Source organism: Homo sapiens, chromosome 2 (assembly GCF_000001405.40).
Source record: "Homo sapiens chromosome 2, GRCh38.p14 Primary Assembly".
NCBI classification, from domain to species: Eukaryota; Metazoa; Chordata; class Mammalia; order Primates; family Hominidae; genus Homo; species Homo sapiens.
The window spans coordinates 26,012,296-26,030,568 of record NC_000002.12 but is presented as its reverse complement, the minus strand read 5'-3'; the positions used below and the strand labels follow the sequence as shown (position 1 = coordinate 26,030,568).

Below are 18,273 nucleotides of genomic sequence, written 5' to 3'. Positions count from 1 at the left end.
ACCTCAAGTGATCCGCCCTCCTCAGCCTCCCAAAGTGCTGGGATTACAGGAATGAGCCACCGCGCCCAGCCCCTGGACTACATTCTTTATAGAGCAATTCTGAAAAAAGCATAAGCCTTTAACTAGGGCGTGAGCCACCATCCCTGACCAGGATAGTCTTGAACTCCTAACCTCAAGTGATTTGCCCTCCTTGGCCTCCCAAAGTGCTGGAATTATAGGCGTGAGCCACTGTGCCCCGCCAGGATACCTTTTTTTTTTTTTTTTTTTTTTTTGAGGCAGGTTCTCACTCTGTCGCCCAAGCTGCAGTGCAGTGGAACGATCATGGCTCACTGCAGCCTCAGCCTCTTGGGCTCAAGCAGTCCTCCCACTTCAGCCTCCCAAGTCCCTGAGACTATGGATGTGCACCATTACGCCCAGCTAATTTTTATATTTTTTGTGGAGATGGGGTTTTGCCATGTTGCCCAGGCTGGTCTTGAACTCCTAGGCTCAAACAATCTGCCAGCCTTGGCCTCCCAAAATGCTGGGATTACAAGTGCGAGCCAACATGCCCCACCATATATTTTAAATCATAATTTGACCCCTGCACGTAACTCACAGATGAGGAGTCTGAGATTCAGAGAAGTTAGGGCCTTCCCAGAGGTCACACTGTTAGTGCAGAGCCTGGACTATACGGGCAAGGGAAAAGAGAAGAAAACCTCCACAGGACACCGTATTACCTCAAGGTGAGAATTGCGAGGATTGAGAGGCTCGGCCAGTACTTAGCATTTGGATTCTCTAAAGTTAATTAAAGGTTTTGCTGGAGTGAGGCCTAAGCATCAAGCTATATCTGCCAGTGAAGCAAGCAGAAGTGATCAAGGTATGGAAGATCTCTGACTCTAGAAAAGAAGAGTAAAATGGGGATCTACACAGGCCTAAAGGATAAACCTAGAGTTATGAAGAAATATTTCATAAAAGTGGAAACAGTGAAAAAAATGCCAATCTACTGCTAGTTTAGGGGTTATGCTTTTTTCAAAATTGCTCTATAAAGAATGTAGTCCAGAGGCCAGGTGCAGTGGCTCATGCCTGTAATCCCAGCACTTTGAGAGGCCCAGGCGGGTGGATCACTTGATTAGGAGTTTGAGACCAGCCTGGCCAACTTGGTGAAACCCCATCTCTACTAAAAACACAAAAATTAGCCAGGCATGGTGGCAGGTACCTATAATTCCAGCTACTTGGGAGGCTGAGGCAGGAGACTCGCTTGAGCCTGGGAGGCCGAGGTTGCAGTGAGTCGAGATCGCACCACTGCACTCCAGGCTGAGTGACAGAACGAGACTCCATCTCAACAACAACAACAACAAAAAATGTAGTCCAGGCCAGGCGCAGAGGCTCATGCCTGTAATCCCAGCACTTTAGGAGGCCAAGGTAGGCAGAGAGCTTGAGTCTAGGAGTTCCAGACCAGCCTAGGTAACATGGTGAAGCCCCATCTCTAAAAAAAGTAAGAAAAAATTAGCCTGACATGGTGATGAGTTCCTGTGATCCCAGCTACTCCGGAAGGCTGAGGTGGGAGGATTGCTTGAGCCTGGGAGGCTGAGGCTGCAGTGAGCCATGATCCTGCCACTGCACTACAGCGTGAGCAACAGAGTGAGACACACTGTCAAAAAAATAAATAGACTGGGCACAGTAGCTCACGCCTGTAATCCCAGCACTTTGGGAGGCTGAGGCGGGTGGATCACGAGGTCAAGAGATCGAGACCATCCTTGTCAACATGGTGAAACCCTGTCTCTACTAAAAATATAAAAATTAGCTGGGCCTGGTAGCGTGCGCCTGTAGTCCCAGCTACTCAGGAGGCTGAGGCAGCAGAATCGCTTGAACCCGGGAAGCAGAGGTTGTAGTGAGCTGAGATCACGCCACTGCACTCCAGCCTGGGCGACAGAGTGAGACTCCGTCTCAAAAAATAAAAAATAGTTGTGTGGCGACATGAAACTGCTCACCCACAATCTGCTGAGCTCGCATGTGCGGGGGATGGGGTCCCGTGGCTTCCCCCTGTGCCTCCAGGCCACCGAGGTCCGTATCTGCCCTGTGGAGTTCAACCCCCAATTTATGTGGCATCATACGTGGCACGTATCATACGTGGTACATATGATACCTAAGGTGGAGTGGTCGGCGTTCCTGGAGGCGGCCGATAGCTTGCGCCTGATCCAGATGCCTAAAGGGCCAGTTGAGGGATATGAGGAGAATGAAGAGTTTCTGAGGACCATGCACCACCTGCTGCTGGAGGTGGAAGTGATAGAGGGCACCCTGCAGTGCCCGGAATCTGGACGTATGTTCCCCATCAGCCGCGGGATCCCCAACATGCTGCTGAGTGAAGAGGAAACTGAGAGTTGATTGTGCCAGGCGCCAGTTTTTCTTGTTATGATTGTGTGTATTTTTGTTGACATATACCGTTTCCGAATTCTGCCGTGTGTATCCCCAACCCTTGACCCAATGACACCAAACACACAGTGTTCTTGAGCTCGATATTATATATTTTTTTCTCATTAAAGGTTCAAAACCAAAATAAATAAATAAATAAATAAAAATAAAAATAAAAAATAAATAAATAAATGGGAGGCTGGGCGCGGTGGCTAACACCTGTAATCGCAGCACTTTGGGAGGCCGAGGCAAGTGGATCACGAGGTCAGGAGATCAACACCATCCTGGCTAACACAGTGAAACCCCGTCTCTACTAAAAATACAAAAAATTAGCCGGGCATGGTGGTGGGCGTCTGTAGTCCCAGCTACTCGGGAGGCTGAGGCAGGAGAATGGCGTGAACCCAGGAGGCGGAGCTTGCAGTGAGCCGAGATCGTGCCACTGCAATCCAGCCTGGGCAACAGAGCGAAACTCTGTCTCAAAAAAATAAATAAATAAAATAAGTAAATAAATAAATAAAGGAGGGAGGGAGGAAAAGAGAAAGTAGTAGTCCAAATATTTGCAAAGCCAAGAAAAAAGAGGTATATTTATATGTTTATACTATCAATTAAGGTATTATCTCTATATTTTTCTAGAAAAAGCATAGTTGACCAGTTCATGGTTCTAGTCTTCAACTTAAGCTTTTAGGACCTGCCTCTACCTTATAAAAAACTCCTGCCTCAAAAGATATTGAGGCAGGATCATCTTTACCACTGTTCCCATGCATATTCAGTCTCTATACCTGATTTCTTACTCTTTTATCCCTCCCCAACTTGCTCTCCGTGTTCTTCATAAGAATTGAGTCTTCCAGGCCGGGCGTGATGGCTCACGCCTGTAATCCCAGCACTTGGCCAGGCTGAGGCAGGCGGATCACCTGAGGTCGGGAGTTCCAGCCTAGCCTGGCCAACATGGAGAAACCCTGTCTCTACTAAAAAATACAAAATTAGCCAGGCATGGTGGTGCATGCCTGTAATCCCAGCTACTCGAGAGGCTGAGGCAGGAGAATTGCCTGAACCCAGGAGGCGGAGGTTGCAGTGAACCGAGATCGTACCATTGCATTCCAGCCTGGGCAAAAAGAGGGAAACTCCGTCTCAAAAAAAAAAAAAAAAAAAAAAAGAGAGAGAATCGAGTCTTCCCTTGAAGGGCCAGCCGACTGCTACGTCATCACCTTGCTATAAAACCTTCCCCTCCAGTCTCCAGGACTTTGTGTATTTACTACTGCTTATTTCCTGTGTTCACACCCACAGTCTTCCTGCAGGGACTTCATGAGGATAGATCTTGGTTAGACTTTCCTGATGCTAAGTACTGATTGCCTAGTGGCTGGCAGCCCGTCAGTATTCTGCTCTGCCTGCATATCTTGACTTAGGCCTCCTCTTGTTAGAAAATAATTGCCCTACCAGGCATGGTGGCACATGCCTGTAGTCCCAGCTACTTAGGGGGCTGAAGCAGGAGGATTGCTTGAGCCTGGAAAGTCAAGGTTGCAGTGAGCCAAGATCCCGCCACTGTACTCCAGATTGGGCAACAGAGCAAGACCCTGTCTCAAAAAAAAAAAAAAAACAAAAAAACAAAGCCGGGTGCGGTGGCTCACGCCTGTAATCCCAGCACTTTGGGAGGCCGAGGTAGGCAGATCACAAGGTCAGGAGTTCGAGGCCAGCCTGGCCAACACGGTGAAACCCTGTCTCTACTAAAAAAAAAAGAATTAGCCGGGCATGATGGCGTGTGCCTGTAATCCCAGTTACTCGGGAGGCTGAGGCAGGAGAATCGCTTGAACTCAAGAGGCAGAGGTTGCAGTGAGCTGAGATCATGCCACTGCACTCCAGCCTGGGTGACAGAGCAAGACTCTGTCTCAAGAAAAGAAAATGATTGCCCCGGGAGTCTTCCCCAGTCCTTTGGCTATGTTTGTTCTAATCCACTGCCAAGGATGCCTCAGTTCTGAAATGCTGATCTCAGCTGGCTGTTGAGGGGCTCCAGGCCCTCGCCAACAAGTCTTATTTTCTATCCTAGCTTCCATATGCTAATCTTCAGAGAAGCTGAACGAGACTTCTTTCCCACACTATCTTCTGTATTCCCACAGTAAACTTCTGGGCTCAATTGAGTCTCCTGCCTCAGCCTCCCAAGCAGCTAGGACTACAGGAATGTGCCACCATGCCTAATTTATTTTATTTTTTTGTAGAGATAGGTTCTCACTATGTCGCCCAGGCAAGTCTTGAACTCCTGGCTTCAAGTAATCCTCCTACCTTGGCCCAGTGTCTTGCATGTAGTGGGAGCTCAATAAACTTTAGTTAAATTAAATTATATCTATATTGGGAGAAATGTTGGAAGTTGTAACTAATTTCCTGCTCCATGAAAAAATGCCCCAACCAGCCTCTATATCAACATGGCCAGTGAGCTTGCCTTGCAGACAGCTGATTGCAGGGCTAGGTATTTGTGACAAAAAAGCATTCCACAGACTGAGAGTAACTATGTTTGTCTATAACATCACCCATTTGTTTTAATTCCATCCTCTAGGGCAACACTGGATAAATCTTTCCCTAATTTCACATGACAGTGCTTTAACTATCTGAACATAGTATTGGTGTTTTCCTCTAGGCTGCTTCAAGTTAACCCTCTCTCTTTTTCTTCCCCTTCTGAGGTATTGAAACTCTTTTCATATAAGACGATTCTCAGAAAACTATCATCACCATCATTCTGCTTTGCTTATGTCTCTCTTAGAGTATGACACCCATAATTGAACATTATGTTTGAGTTGAGGGCATAATCCCATGGAAATAACCAGATCAAGCTACCACTGGCAGGTAGTAGAAATATCTAAGACGAAGATGGTTTCAAAACCACCTTCCAGGTTAACTGCATTGTAACTAAAGAGCTATACAATAAATTATGATTAAAATTACATTTCACATTTACAAATTTAAAATAGACCAAGAAGGCTAGGCACAGTGGCTCGTGCCTGTAATCTCAACACTTTGGGAGGCTGAGGAGGGAAGATCACTTGATCCCAATCAGCCTAGGCAATATGGCAAGACCCTGTCTCAGCCGGGTGCGGTGGCTCACGCCTGTAACCTCAGCACTTTGGGAGGCCAAGACGGGAGGATCACGAAGTCAGGAGATCGAGACCATCCTGCCTAACATGGTGAAACTCCGTCTCTACTAAAAATACAAAAAAATTAGCTGGACCTGGTGGTGGGCGCCTGTAGTTCCAGCTACTCGGGACGCTGAGGCAGGAGAATGGCGTGAACCTGGGAGGTGGAACTTGCAGTGAGCCGAGATAGTGCCACTGCACTCCAGCCTGGGTAACAGAGAGAGACTCTGTCTCAAAAAAAAAAAAAAACCCTGTCTCTACAAAAAATAAAATTAGCTGGACATGGTGGCTCACGCCTGTAGTCCTAGCTGCTCAGGAGGCTGAGGTAGGAGGATCACTTGAGCCCAGGAGTTCAAGGTTGCAGTGAGCTGTGATGGTGTCTCTGCACTCAAATCTGAGAGACAAAGGAAGACCTCTTCTAAAAAAATAAAATTAAGAAGAAGAACAGGCAATTAACAGAAGTGTATGACTATATGAAGAAATGTTCTGAAACAAAATATTCAAGTTTGTAACCAGAGAAATTAAAATTAAACAATAAGATAATATTTTCCATCCATCAGCATGGCAAAAATTAGAAAGATGGATAATACCAAGTGTTGGTAAAGATGTGAAGAGATGAGAACTCTCATGCATAGCTGACAGGAATTCAATCTGGTCTACCCATTCTGGGAAGCAACAAGGCAATATTTAATAAATAATGTACATACCTGTGACTCAACAGCACTATTCCTGGGGGCGTCCAAGAGAAATTCCCACACAGGTTCATCATTGCTTTGTCGTAGCTAGATGTTGGATTGGAACCAATCTAAGCATCTATTACTAGGAGAATAAGTAAATAAAATACAATGGATGCTCACTGAGTTAGAGCAGATCAGAAAGGGTTGGCTTGGGTTTGAAAATTGGCTATTATGACAACTCAGACCCAAGTTAAGGTTGTTAGCACTTCTGTTTATTAATAAACTGGGGCCAGGTGCGGTGGCTTAAGCCTGTAATCCCAGCACTTTGGGAGGCCATGGCGGGTGGATCAATTGAGGTCAGGAGTTTGAGACTAGCCTGGAAAACATGGTAAAACCCCGTATCTACTAAAAATAAAAAAAAAAAATTAGCCAGGCGTGGTGGTGTAGGCCTGTAATCCCAGCTACTCGGGAGACTGAGGCAGGAGAATCGCTTGAACCCAGGAGGCAGAGGTTGCAGTGAGCTGAGATCATGCCACTGCACTCCAGCCTGGGTGACAGAGCAAGACTCCCGCTCAAAAAAAATATAAAAATAAAAATAACAAATTGGCAAACAAGCTAAGCAAAGAACAATGATACAGGCATGCAATGTGAAATAAGCACATAAGCAAAGAACAATGCTTTTCTAGTTCCTCACAGAAACATGCCTAAGTTCTGGTGATCACCGCAGGCCTTACCCATGGCCTATCCCACATTCATAGGGAGAAAACTGGTCTAATGAGGTCAGAGTTGGGACTAGCTTTTTTTTTTTTTTTTTTTGAGACGAATTCTCGGTCTTATTCTCCAGGCTGGAGTGCAGTGGCATGACCTCGGCTCACTGCAACCTCCGCCTCCCAGGTTCAAGTGATTCTCCTGCCTCAGCCTCCCGAGGAGCTGGGATTACAGGTGCATGCCACCACACCTGGCTAATTTTTGTATTTTTAGTAGAGATGGGGTTTCACCATGTTGGCCAGGCTGGTCTCAAACTCCTGACCTCAGGCGATCCACCCACCTTGGCCTCCCGAAGTGCTGGGATTACAGGCGTGAGCCACCGCACCCAGCCTGGGACTAGCTTTTTTTTGTAGGATTAACCACAGGAGGAGGCCAGGTCAGCATTCAAGGGCCTACCGTATACCATATAAGAAAGTTTCTTGTATTATTGGGCCGATAGCAGGCTTGCCCGTGGCCTATCCCACATGCACTATTAAGCCCCTAACTAGCTACACCTTCAGCAACATAGTGAACTGAAACAAAGGAAACAGAAAATGAATTATAGGCTGGGCGTGGTGGTCACACCTGTAATCCCAGCACTTTGGGAGGCCTAGGCAGGCAGATCACGAGGTCAGGAGTTTGAGACTGGCCTGTCCAACATGGTGAAACCCTGTCTCTACTAAAAATACAAAAATTAGCCAGATGTGGTGGCAGGCGCCTGTAATCGCAGCTACTCGGGAGACTGAGACAGAATTGCTTGCACCTGGGAGGTGGAGGTTGCAGTAAGCCGAGATCATACCACTGCACTCCAGCGTGAGTGACAGAGCAAGACTCTATCTCATTAAAAAAAAAAAAAGATTTATAATACAATGCCATTCAGGTAAATTACAAACAACAACTTTCTTTTATGAGGTTTCACACATGTTTAATAACATACATCAAACATATTACACATGAAACCTATGGAAGAAGAAGGCAATGAGAGGGAAGAAGGGGGAAAAATAGGCTGGGTACAGTGGCTCACGCCTGTAATCCCAGCACTTTGGGAGGCCGAGGCGGGCTGATTACCTGATGTCAGGAGTTCAAGACCAGCCTGGCCAACATGATGAAACCCCGTCTCTACAAAAATACAAAAATTAGCTGGGCATGATGGCAGGTGCCTGTAATCCTAGCTACTCGGGAGGCTGAGGCAGGAGAATTGCTTGAATCTGGGAGGTGAAGGTTGCATTGAGCCGAGATCGTGCCATTGCATTCCAGCCTGGGCGACAGAGCGAGACTCTGTCTCAAAAAAAAAAAAGAAGGGGGAAAAATATAAAATGAGTAGGACCTTGCACAGACCACATAGTCAGTGGTCAATGTGCTAGAAAGTGAGGAATGTGATTAACTCAGTGCTCAGCATCCCAGATCTAAATTTTTAAACAAATTGAGAAGATCAAATTGCACATGGAGGTAGATGACATTGATATTGATACTCTTTATAGTTATCATTTGCAGAAAAATATCAAAATGAGAAGAAAAACCCTAAATATTTGGTTTGGATCAATACAAAAAATATAGATTCTGGCTGTTTCTTTTATGCCTAACTGCCACATAGCATAACAATAGTCATGCAAATTTAAAAATGTGACAGATTTATTTCATCATATGAACTTGGCCATGGACTTTATGGAATTGTCAGTTTCTGAAGCTTGGTGCTCAACTCTCAGCTGTCAGCTCTTTCCCCTCCCTGTCTGGTGCTAGCTGTTTGGAAAAATCCAGTTATTTGCAAGCTACCTCACCTTTTTCCTGGAGCCAGAGAAAGAGTAGAAGTATAGGTTATCAAAAGCCCTTACACACCTGCTAATTGAGTCAGTCACTGTCAAGACAATATCTAAAAGCAGCCATCTCTGTTGGCCAAAATACCTCCAAGAAAAATAACTTAGGGGCCGGGCGCAGTGGCTCACACCTGTAATCCCAGCACTTTGGGAGGCCAAGGTGGGCGGATCACGAGGTCAGAAGATCGAGACCATCCTGGCCAACATGGTGAAACCCTGTCTCTACTAAAAATACAAAAAATTAGCCGGGCATGGTGGTGTGCGCCTGTAGTCTCAGCTACTGCAGAGGCTGAGGCAGGAGAATCGCTTGAATCTGGGAGGTGGAGGTTGCAGTGAGCTGAGATCGCGCCACTGCACTCCAGCCTGGGTGACAGAGCAAGATTCTGTCTCAAAAAATAATAATAATAACTTAAAGGAGTATAATTTTACTGTTTGTAACTCAAAGGATAAATGCTTGGGGGGATGGATACCCCATTTTCCATGATGTGCTTCTTTCACATTTCATGTCTGTATCAAAACACCTCATGTACCCAATAAATATATACACCTACTATGTACCCACAAACATTGAAAATAAAAATAAAAGAAAAAATACTCCCAAGAGGAAGCCAGACTTTTGCCCATGTAGCTTATGCATTCAGGGTTCCACTACCTTTTGCCCTCCCTCAGGGCACTGGTGTCCACAGGGCAAACCTGCCCTGTGTCCTTGAAGGCCAAATAGGGATGCTATTTCTTTCTTTCTTTTTTTTTTTTTTCTTTTTTTGAGATGGAGTCTTACCCAGTCGCCCAGGCTGGAGGGCAGTGGCACAATCTCAGCTCACTGCAACCTCCACCTCCCGGGTTCGAGTCATTCTTCTGCCTCAGCCTCCTGAGTAGCTGGGATTACAGGTGTACAGCTACACAAAGAAGCAGGCACAGTGAGGGCGACTGAGAGCAGTAGCACTTGGTTTCTGGGCCACCTCTGGACCCCAGAGCTGGATGGGATCCCAAGTCCAGTGCTGGCCACCATGGTGCTATAGGCTACAGAATCTCTTTGGGGTCCGGCAGGGGCAGTGATGGACTCACTGCTTGGCCTAACAGACTGAATCTGTGGCCTGTTGCTTTCCCCAGATCCCTGAGCCTGTTTCTCTAGCCTTCCCAGTAATTCTGAGAGCTTCCCAATAGCCTTTCAGTAAATGTATGTTCTGCTTCTAAATGCCAAATATCAGTTTCTGTTGCAACCAAAACCCGTGACTGATACACTTGTTTCTGGTAAAATTCCCAGGATGACTCCAGCTCTACCTGACATTTGTGCACGTCCACTTCCTCTTTCCCACCTTCTGCTGACCTTGCCACTTGAATGTGCTGCACCTCTGCTGAAACTTGGCTCCTGCCTGCCCTCCAAGGCTGCTGCAGCCTCGGTTCCTCTTTCCTGGGTCTCCACTGCCTCTTTCTAGCCCCCTCTACCCCAGGTTCAGGTGACCTGTGCTCCCAGCCCATCCTGAGGCCTAGACAGGTTGGGCAGTCATCCTAACCCTGTCATGATGTCAGCAGTGGGCCTCGTGCTGGCAGGGCAGAGTCCTCAGATGCTGGAAGGGAGGGTCACCAGGAGGAAAGAGGGACACAGGCAAAGAGATAGGAAAGTTGCAGAGGCTCCCTTTTTTGTTTGTTTGCTTGTTTGTTTGTTTGCTTGTTTTGAGACTCAGTCTTGCTCTGTCCAGGCTGGAGTGCAGTGGCACCATCTTGGCCCACTGCAACCTCTGCCTCCTGGGTTCAAGCTGATTCTCCTGCCTCAGCCTCCCGTGTAGCTGGGATTACAGGTGTGTGCCATCACACCCAGCTAATTTCTTTTTAGGCGGGTCTCACTCTGTCACCCAGGCTGGAATACAATAGCTCAATCATAACTAACTGTGGCCTCAAACTCCTGTGCTCAAGTGATCATCCTGCCTCAGCCTCCCAAGTAGCTGAGATTACAGGTGTGAGTCACTACACCCAGCTAATTTTTTTTTTTTTTAAGTGGAGATGGGGTCTCACTATGTTTCCCAGGCTGGTCTTGAACTCCTGGCCTCAAGCAGTCCTCCTGCCTCAGCCTCCCAAAGTTCTGGAATTAGAGGCGTGAGCCACCATGCCTGGGGTATTTTTATATTTTATCTAACAACATGAGTTTTCATTTATGGAGTTCCTGCATTGTTCTGGCCCTTTAGAGGCATGACTTCACAATAATACATTGATGTAGGAACTATGATCATCCCCATTTTCAGATGAAGAAACAAGTGTTTAAATAGGTTAAAAGAGGCCGGGCATGGTGTCTCACACCTGTAATCCCAGCACTTTGGAAGACCAAATCTGGCACATTGCTTGAGGCCCAGGGTTCAAGACCAGACTGGGCAACATGGTGAAACCCCGTCTCTACAAAAAATACAAAAATTAGCAGGGCAAGGTGGTATGCACCTGTAGTCCCAGCTGGTAGGGAGGCTGAGGTGGGAGGATTGCTTGAGCCTGGGAGGCGGAGGTTGCAGTGAACCGAGATTGCACCACCACACTCCAGCCTGGGCAGCAGAGCAAGACTCTATCTCAAAAAAAAAAAAAAGAAAAGAAAAGAAAAAGATGTGAAAAGACATGGAAGGTGGGGTGCAGTGGCTCATGCCTGTAATCCCAGCACTTTGGGAAGCTGAGGCGAGTGGATCACCTGACATCAGGAGTTCGAGACCAGCCTGGCCAATATGGTGAAACGCCATCTCTACTAAAAATACAAAAATTAGCCAGGCATGGTGGCGGGCACCTGTAATCTCAGCTACTCAGGAGGCTGAGGCAGGAGAATCATTGAACCCAAGAGGAGGAGGCTGCAGTGAGCTGAGATTGCACCACTGCACTCCAGCCTGGGCAACAGAGCAAGACTCCGTCTCAAAAAAAAAAGAAAAAAAGAGATGGAATGTGATGATGCCTGGTATTTCCTTCAAAATAAGTGGGAGCAAAGGGGATAAGTAGAGTATAGATGAAATAAAGTTACAGTGGGTTAATGATTATTCAAGCTGGATAATGAGTATATGGAGGTTCATCATACTAATGTGTGTCATTCATATATATTTGAAGCTTTCCATAATTAAAAGTTGTTTTTAGTCTGATCTAAGTCATACAACTATAAATGATGAAATTAGGTTTTGATCCCAGGCCCTCCTAACTTCAGAGCCTGCTCTCTTAACCTCTATGCTGGATACCTGGCAAGGTGCCTAAAAAGAGCTAAGCAGAAAAGATAAGTGATTTTCAGAGAATTCAGAAGGGATTTGGAAGCCTCTCAATTAATTTCTGCTCCGTTTTCTAGGTACTTCATGGGAAGGATCAACATAAGTAGAGCCAGATATTAATACCCCTCACCCAGAGCTTCTTATACAGAAGATGCCCTCCTTTTTTCTGCCTGCTTCTGAGTAGGTGCAGAAGCACCCATGAGAGAGTGGTTGGCAGCCAAAGTTTTCTAAAAACACCCAGGCAACAGCTGTCCTTGGCTGTCACCTGACTCACCAGGCCCTGAGTCAGCACCACTCCCCGACACAGCCTCCCCTGCTGAGCCAGATCTGACCTGCCCTTTCCTGGCTGAGCTGAACTAGTTGGGCCAGCCCAGCCCTGCACTATCCCAGCATTCTCCTCAGTGGGCAGCTTCTTGCTCCCTTACATGCATCTGGAGTTCCCACCCATGTGCTACCCTTGTCATCCAGGGCAGCAACCATATGCCTGAAACTCTAGCTCTGAAGAGAGCTAAAAGGCCCGCTCCATGTCCTCAGAGGCATGAACAGGGATCTGGAATCTGTGTCTGGATACAGATGACATAGGATGGCCTGGGCGCCAGCATCTTCCACCATCTGCAGAGGAAAGTCTTCCCTCTCTGGGTATCTCTGGGATTTGCTTTAGGCAAATAACCAGAATGAAATGTAAAGACACCCCCCTATTCCTGCAGAGCAGGATTCTAACACTAGGTTCAGTCCCAGAAGAGAACAAGTCTGGGGCAATATGAAGACCAAGATTTTGCTTCTGTGTTTGGTCTGTGTTTCTGTGAAAAACTCTCATGGATCATCTCATCTCAGCCTTTTCTTGGCCTAAACATGAAGCTACAGTAAGTGCTGACATATTCTCCAGGCATTCGTAGAGACTGAGCCTGGCACCATAATTGGAGGACACAGACACTGACCTCATTCCTAAGTCATTAAGGTGACACCTGCTTCCAACCTCAGACCTCCAGGCCACCCTGCTCTGAATCCTGGCCCTGCCACTGAGGCATACATGATCTTGAGCTAGTAACTAACCTTTGTGAGTCTCAGTTTTTCTCATCCGTACAGTAGGAATACAATACCTACCTTGCAGGTTGTCGTGAGGGTCAGACAAAGTAGTGCATGTGAAGCACTTTGTGGGTGAACAATAAAAATCTGTGTCCTTGCCTGGTGCAGTGGTGCATGCCTATAATCCCAGTACTTTGGGATGCTGAGGCCGGAGGATGGCTTGAGCCCAGGAGTTTGAGACCAGCTTGGGTAACATGGCGAAACCCTCTCTCTATAAATCCGGAAAAAATGGCAGGTGCAGTGGTGCATGCATGTAGTCTCAGCTACTCAGGAGGCTGAGGTGGGAGGATTGCTTGAGCCCAGGAGTCAGAGGTTGCAGTGAGCTGAGATCATACCACTGCATTCCAGCCCAGGCGACAGAGTAAGACCTTGTTTTAAAAAAAGGCTGGGTGCAGTGGCTCCTGCCTGTAATCCCAGCACTTTGGGAGGCCAAGGCAGGCAGATCACAAGGTCAAGAGATCGAGACCATCCTGGCCAGCATGGTGAAATGCCATCTCTATTAAAATTTAAAAAATTAGCTGGGCATGGTGGCATGTGCCTGTAGTCCCAGCAACTCAGGAGGCTGAGGCAGGAGAATTGCTTGAACCCGGGAGTCGGAGGTTGCAGTGAGCTGAGATTGCGCCACTGCAACCCTGCCTGGCGACAGAGCAAGACTCTATCTAAAAAAAAAAAAAAAAAAAAAATCAGTGTCTTTCACTTTGCCTTGTTCCTTGGGACCAGCTCTTATTCAAACTGTACTGATATCAAAGCTTTTAGGCCTGAGACCAAGCTCTGCCCAGCTCTCCACTCTTGATTCTGGGCATTCACACCAGAGTCCCAATACCTTCCCACTGATTCCCACGTCAAAAGACAAAATTCCAACAAATTTAGTTTAAACATTTTAACTGGCTTTCATTTGAAATTCCAGAATTGGGCAATATCTCATTCTACAAGGCAGAGTGAATGTTCCCATGAGCCGAGCAGAGGAGGTTGGTTTTAGAGACAGAAAGCAGAAACAAAACGAAAAGTGGATTCGTCGTTTCAAAGTTACTTTTCTCATAAAGGTTAAAGCAGAGGGGACTTCCTTATCACGCTGGCTAAAACTGGCCTTTTTGGAAATTTGGCTATTATCTCTCATTCTCCTGATTTCTTAGAAGGTCAGATAAACTTAATTTCAGCTTGGTGACATGAAACTTCAGCATGAGTAACTTCATTTTGGTTTGGTCTGTTGGACCTAGTGCAGGAGCTCAGTCCAAACCAATGGTCTCCAATAAATTGTATTTATACCTACATGGGCCAGTTGTTTTCTGGTCGTCTGCCAGCCCAGACCACACCACAGTCCTGACTTCATAATTCCATGCACTTTTTTTTTTTTTGAGATGAAGTCTCACCCTGTATCCTAGGCTGTAGCTTAATGGCATGATTTCGGCTCACTGCAAACTCCGCCTCACGGGTTCAAGCGATTCTCCTGCCTCAGTCTCCCAAGTAGTTGGGATTACAGGTACCCGCCACCATGCCCGGCTGACTTTTGTATTTTTATTAGAGACGTGGTTTCACCATGTTGGCCAGGCTGGTCTCAAACTCCTGACCTCAAGTGATCTGCCCGCTTTGGCCTCCTAAAATGCTGGGATTACAGGCGTGAGCCACCATGCCCAGCCCTTCATAATTCCATGCACTCTTAATTTGTGTCTGTCCCACTGGCTACTACCACACAGTTGGATCTGATAATTTCTGTGTACTCTCTCACTAACTCATTCCCTTCTTCCTCCTTTTCTTTAGCCTTAAAACTCCTGAAGGTGGGTTTTCCAGGGCCCCTTCTCCCATCACTGCCTTTTGTGTATTCTCATTGCTAAGGACCCACTGTCTTGAGTCTCCTGCAGGCAAACAGCCAGCTCTACCCCTTCCCCTTCTTTCCTCCAGGCTCCCCTGCCAGGGGAGGGATGTTATAGCTCTCTTACCAGCGTCAGGACTTTGTCTAATCACTCCAGTTTTTCAATCTCTCTTAAAGTGTGGGAGCCACAATCAGGCATGATATGCCAGGCATGGTTTGACCTGGTGTAGTAGAAAAGACGACCACATTTTTCATTGTACACATGTACTGGTGTTAATGTAACCTAAGTGTAGATTAGGATTTTGGCAACTGTGTCATGATGTTTGCTCTAATAGGTTTGTGGCCAGCTAAAAATCCTAGGCCTTTTTTCACAAACTGCAGATAAGTCTCTACATTTTGTACTGATATAGCTGACTTAATAATATCTAACTTTAATAATTCCTTAAAAATAATTTTTTTATGTTTTTGAGGCAGGGTCTCACTCTGTTGCCCAGGCTGGAGTACAGTGGCGCAGTCTCGGCTCTCTGTAGCCTCAACCTCCTGGGCTCAAGCAATCCTCCCACCTCAGCCCCTCAAGTAGCTGGGACTAAAGGAGCACACCACCACACCCTGCTAATTTTTGTATTTTTTGTAGAGACAGGGTTTTGCCATATTGCCCAGGCTGTTTTTGAACTCCTGAGTTCAAATGATCCTCCTGCCTCAGCCTCCCAAAGTACTGGGATTACAGGTATGTACCACCACACCCAGCCTAACTTTAATAATTCATCAATTTATCACTATTATAAATAACTTTGGTTCTTTAACAAATAAATTGTGAGGAAAAAAAAAGTGTCAGAGGGGTGATTTGTAGATAAAAGAGACTTTCAACCAATTGCAATGTGTGGGCCGGGAGCAGTGGCACACACCTGTAATCCCAGCACTTTAGGAGGCCGAGGCGGGCAGATCATGTCAGGCCAGGAGTTTGAGACCAGCCTGGGCAATGTGATGAGCTTTATCTCCACAAAATTAATAATACAAAAAAATCAGCTGGGTATGGTGGTGCATGCCTGTGGTCCCAGCTATTTGGGAGGCTGAAGTGGGAGGATTACCTGAGACCAGGAGGCAGAGGTTGCAGTGTGCCAAGACTGTGCCACTGCACTGCAGCCTGGGTGGAAACCTTGTCTCTCTCTCTCTGTCTCTCTCTCTCTGTCTCTGTCTCTGTCTCTCTCTCTCTCTCTCTCTCTCTCTCTCTCTATATATATATATATATATTTATGTATATATGTGTGTGTATATATATATGTGTTTATGTATATATATATATATATTTTTTTTTTTTTTTTTTTTTGAGACATAGTCTCACTGCAATGCCTAGGCTGGAGTGCAATGGTACAATCTCAGCTCACTGCAACCTCCACCTCCCAGGTTCAAGTAATTCTCCTGCCTCAGGCTCCTGAGCATTTGGGATTACAGGCAACTGCCACCACACCCAGATAATTTTTGTATTTTTAGTAGAGACGGGGTTTCACCATATTGGCCAGGCTGGTCTTGAACTCCTGACCTCAAGTGATCTGCCTGCCTTGGCCTCCCAAAGTGCTGAGATTACAGGCATATGCCACCAGGCCCGGCCTCACCTCCTCATTTTAAAATTGATAATATAACCAGGAGATGATTGGTCTTTGCTCTCACTCCTTATACAACTCAAGTCCAAACTGAGAACTTTGTTTGCATCCCCTCCAATACATCCAAATTCAAAAATACCTATGACTAAGGAGATTTTACTGAAGGCTTCATGGGAAGACAGAAGAGGATTACATCACACACCATAAAGCAAAGCTTAATTAGATCCCTCCACTCCACTAGCTAAACCTGTTCTCCCTCCAAAAGTTTTCTCCCTTACTACCATATTGCCAACTTTCCTCCCTTCATCTCTTTCCGTATACAACTTCTGAATTCCCTCTTTTCTTCCAGACCATTCAGTTATGGTCCCAAGTTTATCACCTCATATCATTTGCATTCAACAAAACAAAAGCACAATAGTTACCTAAAAAGCAACTATTTTTCCTCAAGCATGCTCCTTGGGAAAGTGGGAGGTATCTCAGTTCATGGCAATAGAGCCCATGTCAATAATAAATATTTCCTGGAGGCTTGTTAAGAATAAGATGCTGGGCTAAGCATCTGACAAAATGATCTCATGTCATGTAGTTCATTAGTGGCAAATCTAGTATAGAACTTTAATTAGAAAGGTTAAATCACAACTTTTTTTTTTTTTTTTTTTGAGACAGAGTCTCGCTCCCACTGTCACCTGGGCTGGAGTGCAGTGGTACGATCTCAGCTCACTGCAACCTCTGCCTCTCGGGTTCAAGTGATTCCCCTGCGTCAGCCTCCCGAGTAGCTGGGACTATAGGCACCTGCCACCACGCCCAGCTAATTTTGTGTATTTTTAGTAGAGATGGGGTTTCGCCATGTTGGCCAGGCTGGTCTCGAACTCCTGACCTCGTGATTCGCCCGCCTCGGCCTCCCAAAGTATTGGGATTACAGGTGTGAGCCACCGTGCCTGGCCTAAATCACAACTTCTGAGCCACTCATATTCATGTTCTTCAGTTTTTTGTTTGTTTGTTTGTTTTTGCTTAACAGCCCTGTAGGCTAGATGGAAAAGGTACATTATTTCATTTTCTAAAGATAGGGAAATCGAGAGACAGTGACTGAGGGACTTTGCAACTTAGGTAGTGAGAGGTCTTGATCCATGTCTAGGTTATTTTGTCTTTTGCAGGATGTATGAAATTGTGGCCAAATTCACATGGAAAATGTAACGAGTAAGGGACACTGTGTAATCTAAGACACTGTTATGTGAGGTCAAGTAGAAAGGACCGAAGCATTATGATTGATAAGGAGTACCGAGAAGAGAAGTGGGAGAGGACAGACTGTCAGTGTTTCTCCCACGGTGACAGGGAAGAGAGGCCAGTGCTGGGCAAGGCAGGATCCTGTTTGGCAAGGGATGCCTGTCCCTGTGTGGGAAAGCATGACTCATCGGGGTGCCATAGCTCAGTGACACAGGCTCTTAAGATCTTTCAAGTCCCCTTAGCCCTACTCTGTATTTACAAAGTGACTCTTGGATATACTTTGAGCTTCTGAAGTGTGCCTTCCACAAAGCAAGGAATGTGCTGACAGGGGTTTCTTCGGGCCTATTGTCAATTACATTTCACAGAATGAATGAATAATGCTGCATCTGGTTTCTCCCTCGTGGGTTTGGTTTAGAGCGAGTTTATTCATTCAACATCAGTTCAACAAATATTTATTGAGTGCCATTTACGTGCCAGGCATTGGTCGGAGCCCTTGTGACACAGTCAGATAAGATCTCTATCCTCACAGAGTGCACGCGCTGATGAGGGGATGACGCATAAGAGAAAAACAAACATATCAATA

The 18,273-nt window shown here is 46.2% G+C and overlaps 1 pseudogene, besides 1 other annotated feature; it reads left to right on the top strand.

Moving 5' to 3' along the window:
* Window positions 1,494–2,022: an enhancer, noted in NCBI's record as "H3K4me1 hESC enhancer chr2:26251416-26251944 (GRCh37/hg19 assembly coordinates)". NCBI's record gives its function as "activates a minimal SCP1, AML or CMV promoter by ChIP-STARR-seq in primed H9 embryonic stem cells {active_cell/tissue: H9 hESC(primed)}" and the evidence as "EXISTENCE:reporter gene assay evidence [ECO:0000049][PMID:30033119]".
* TRMT112P6 (tRNA methyltransferase subunit 11-2 pseudogene 6) lies at window positions 1,945–2,536 on the top strand (annotated as a pseudogene).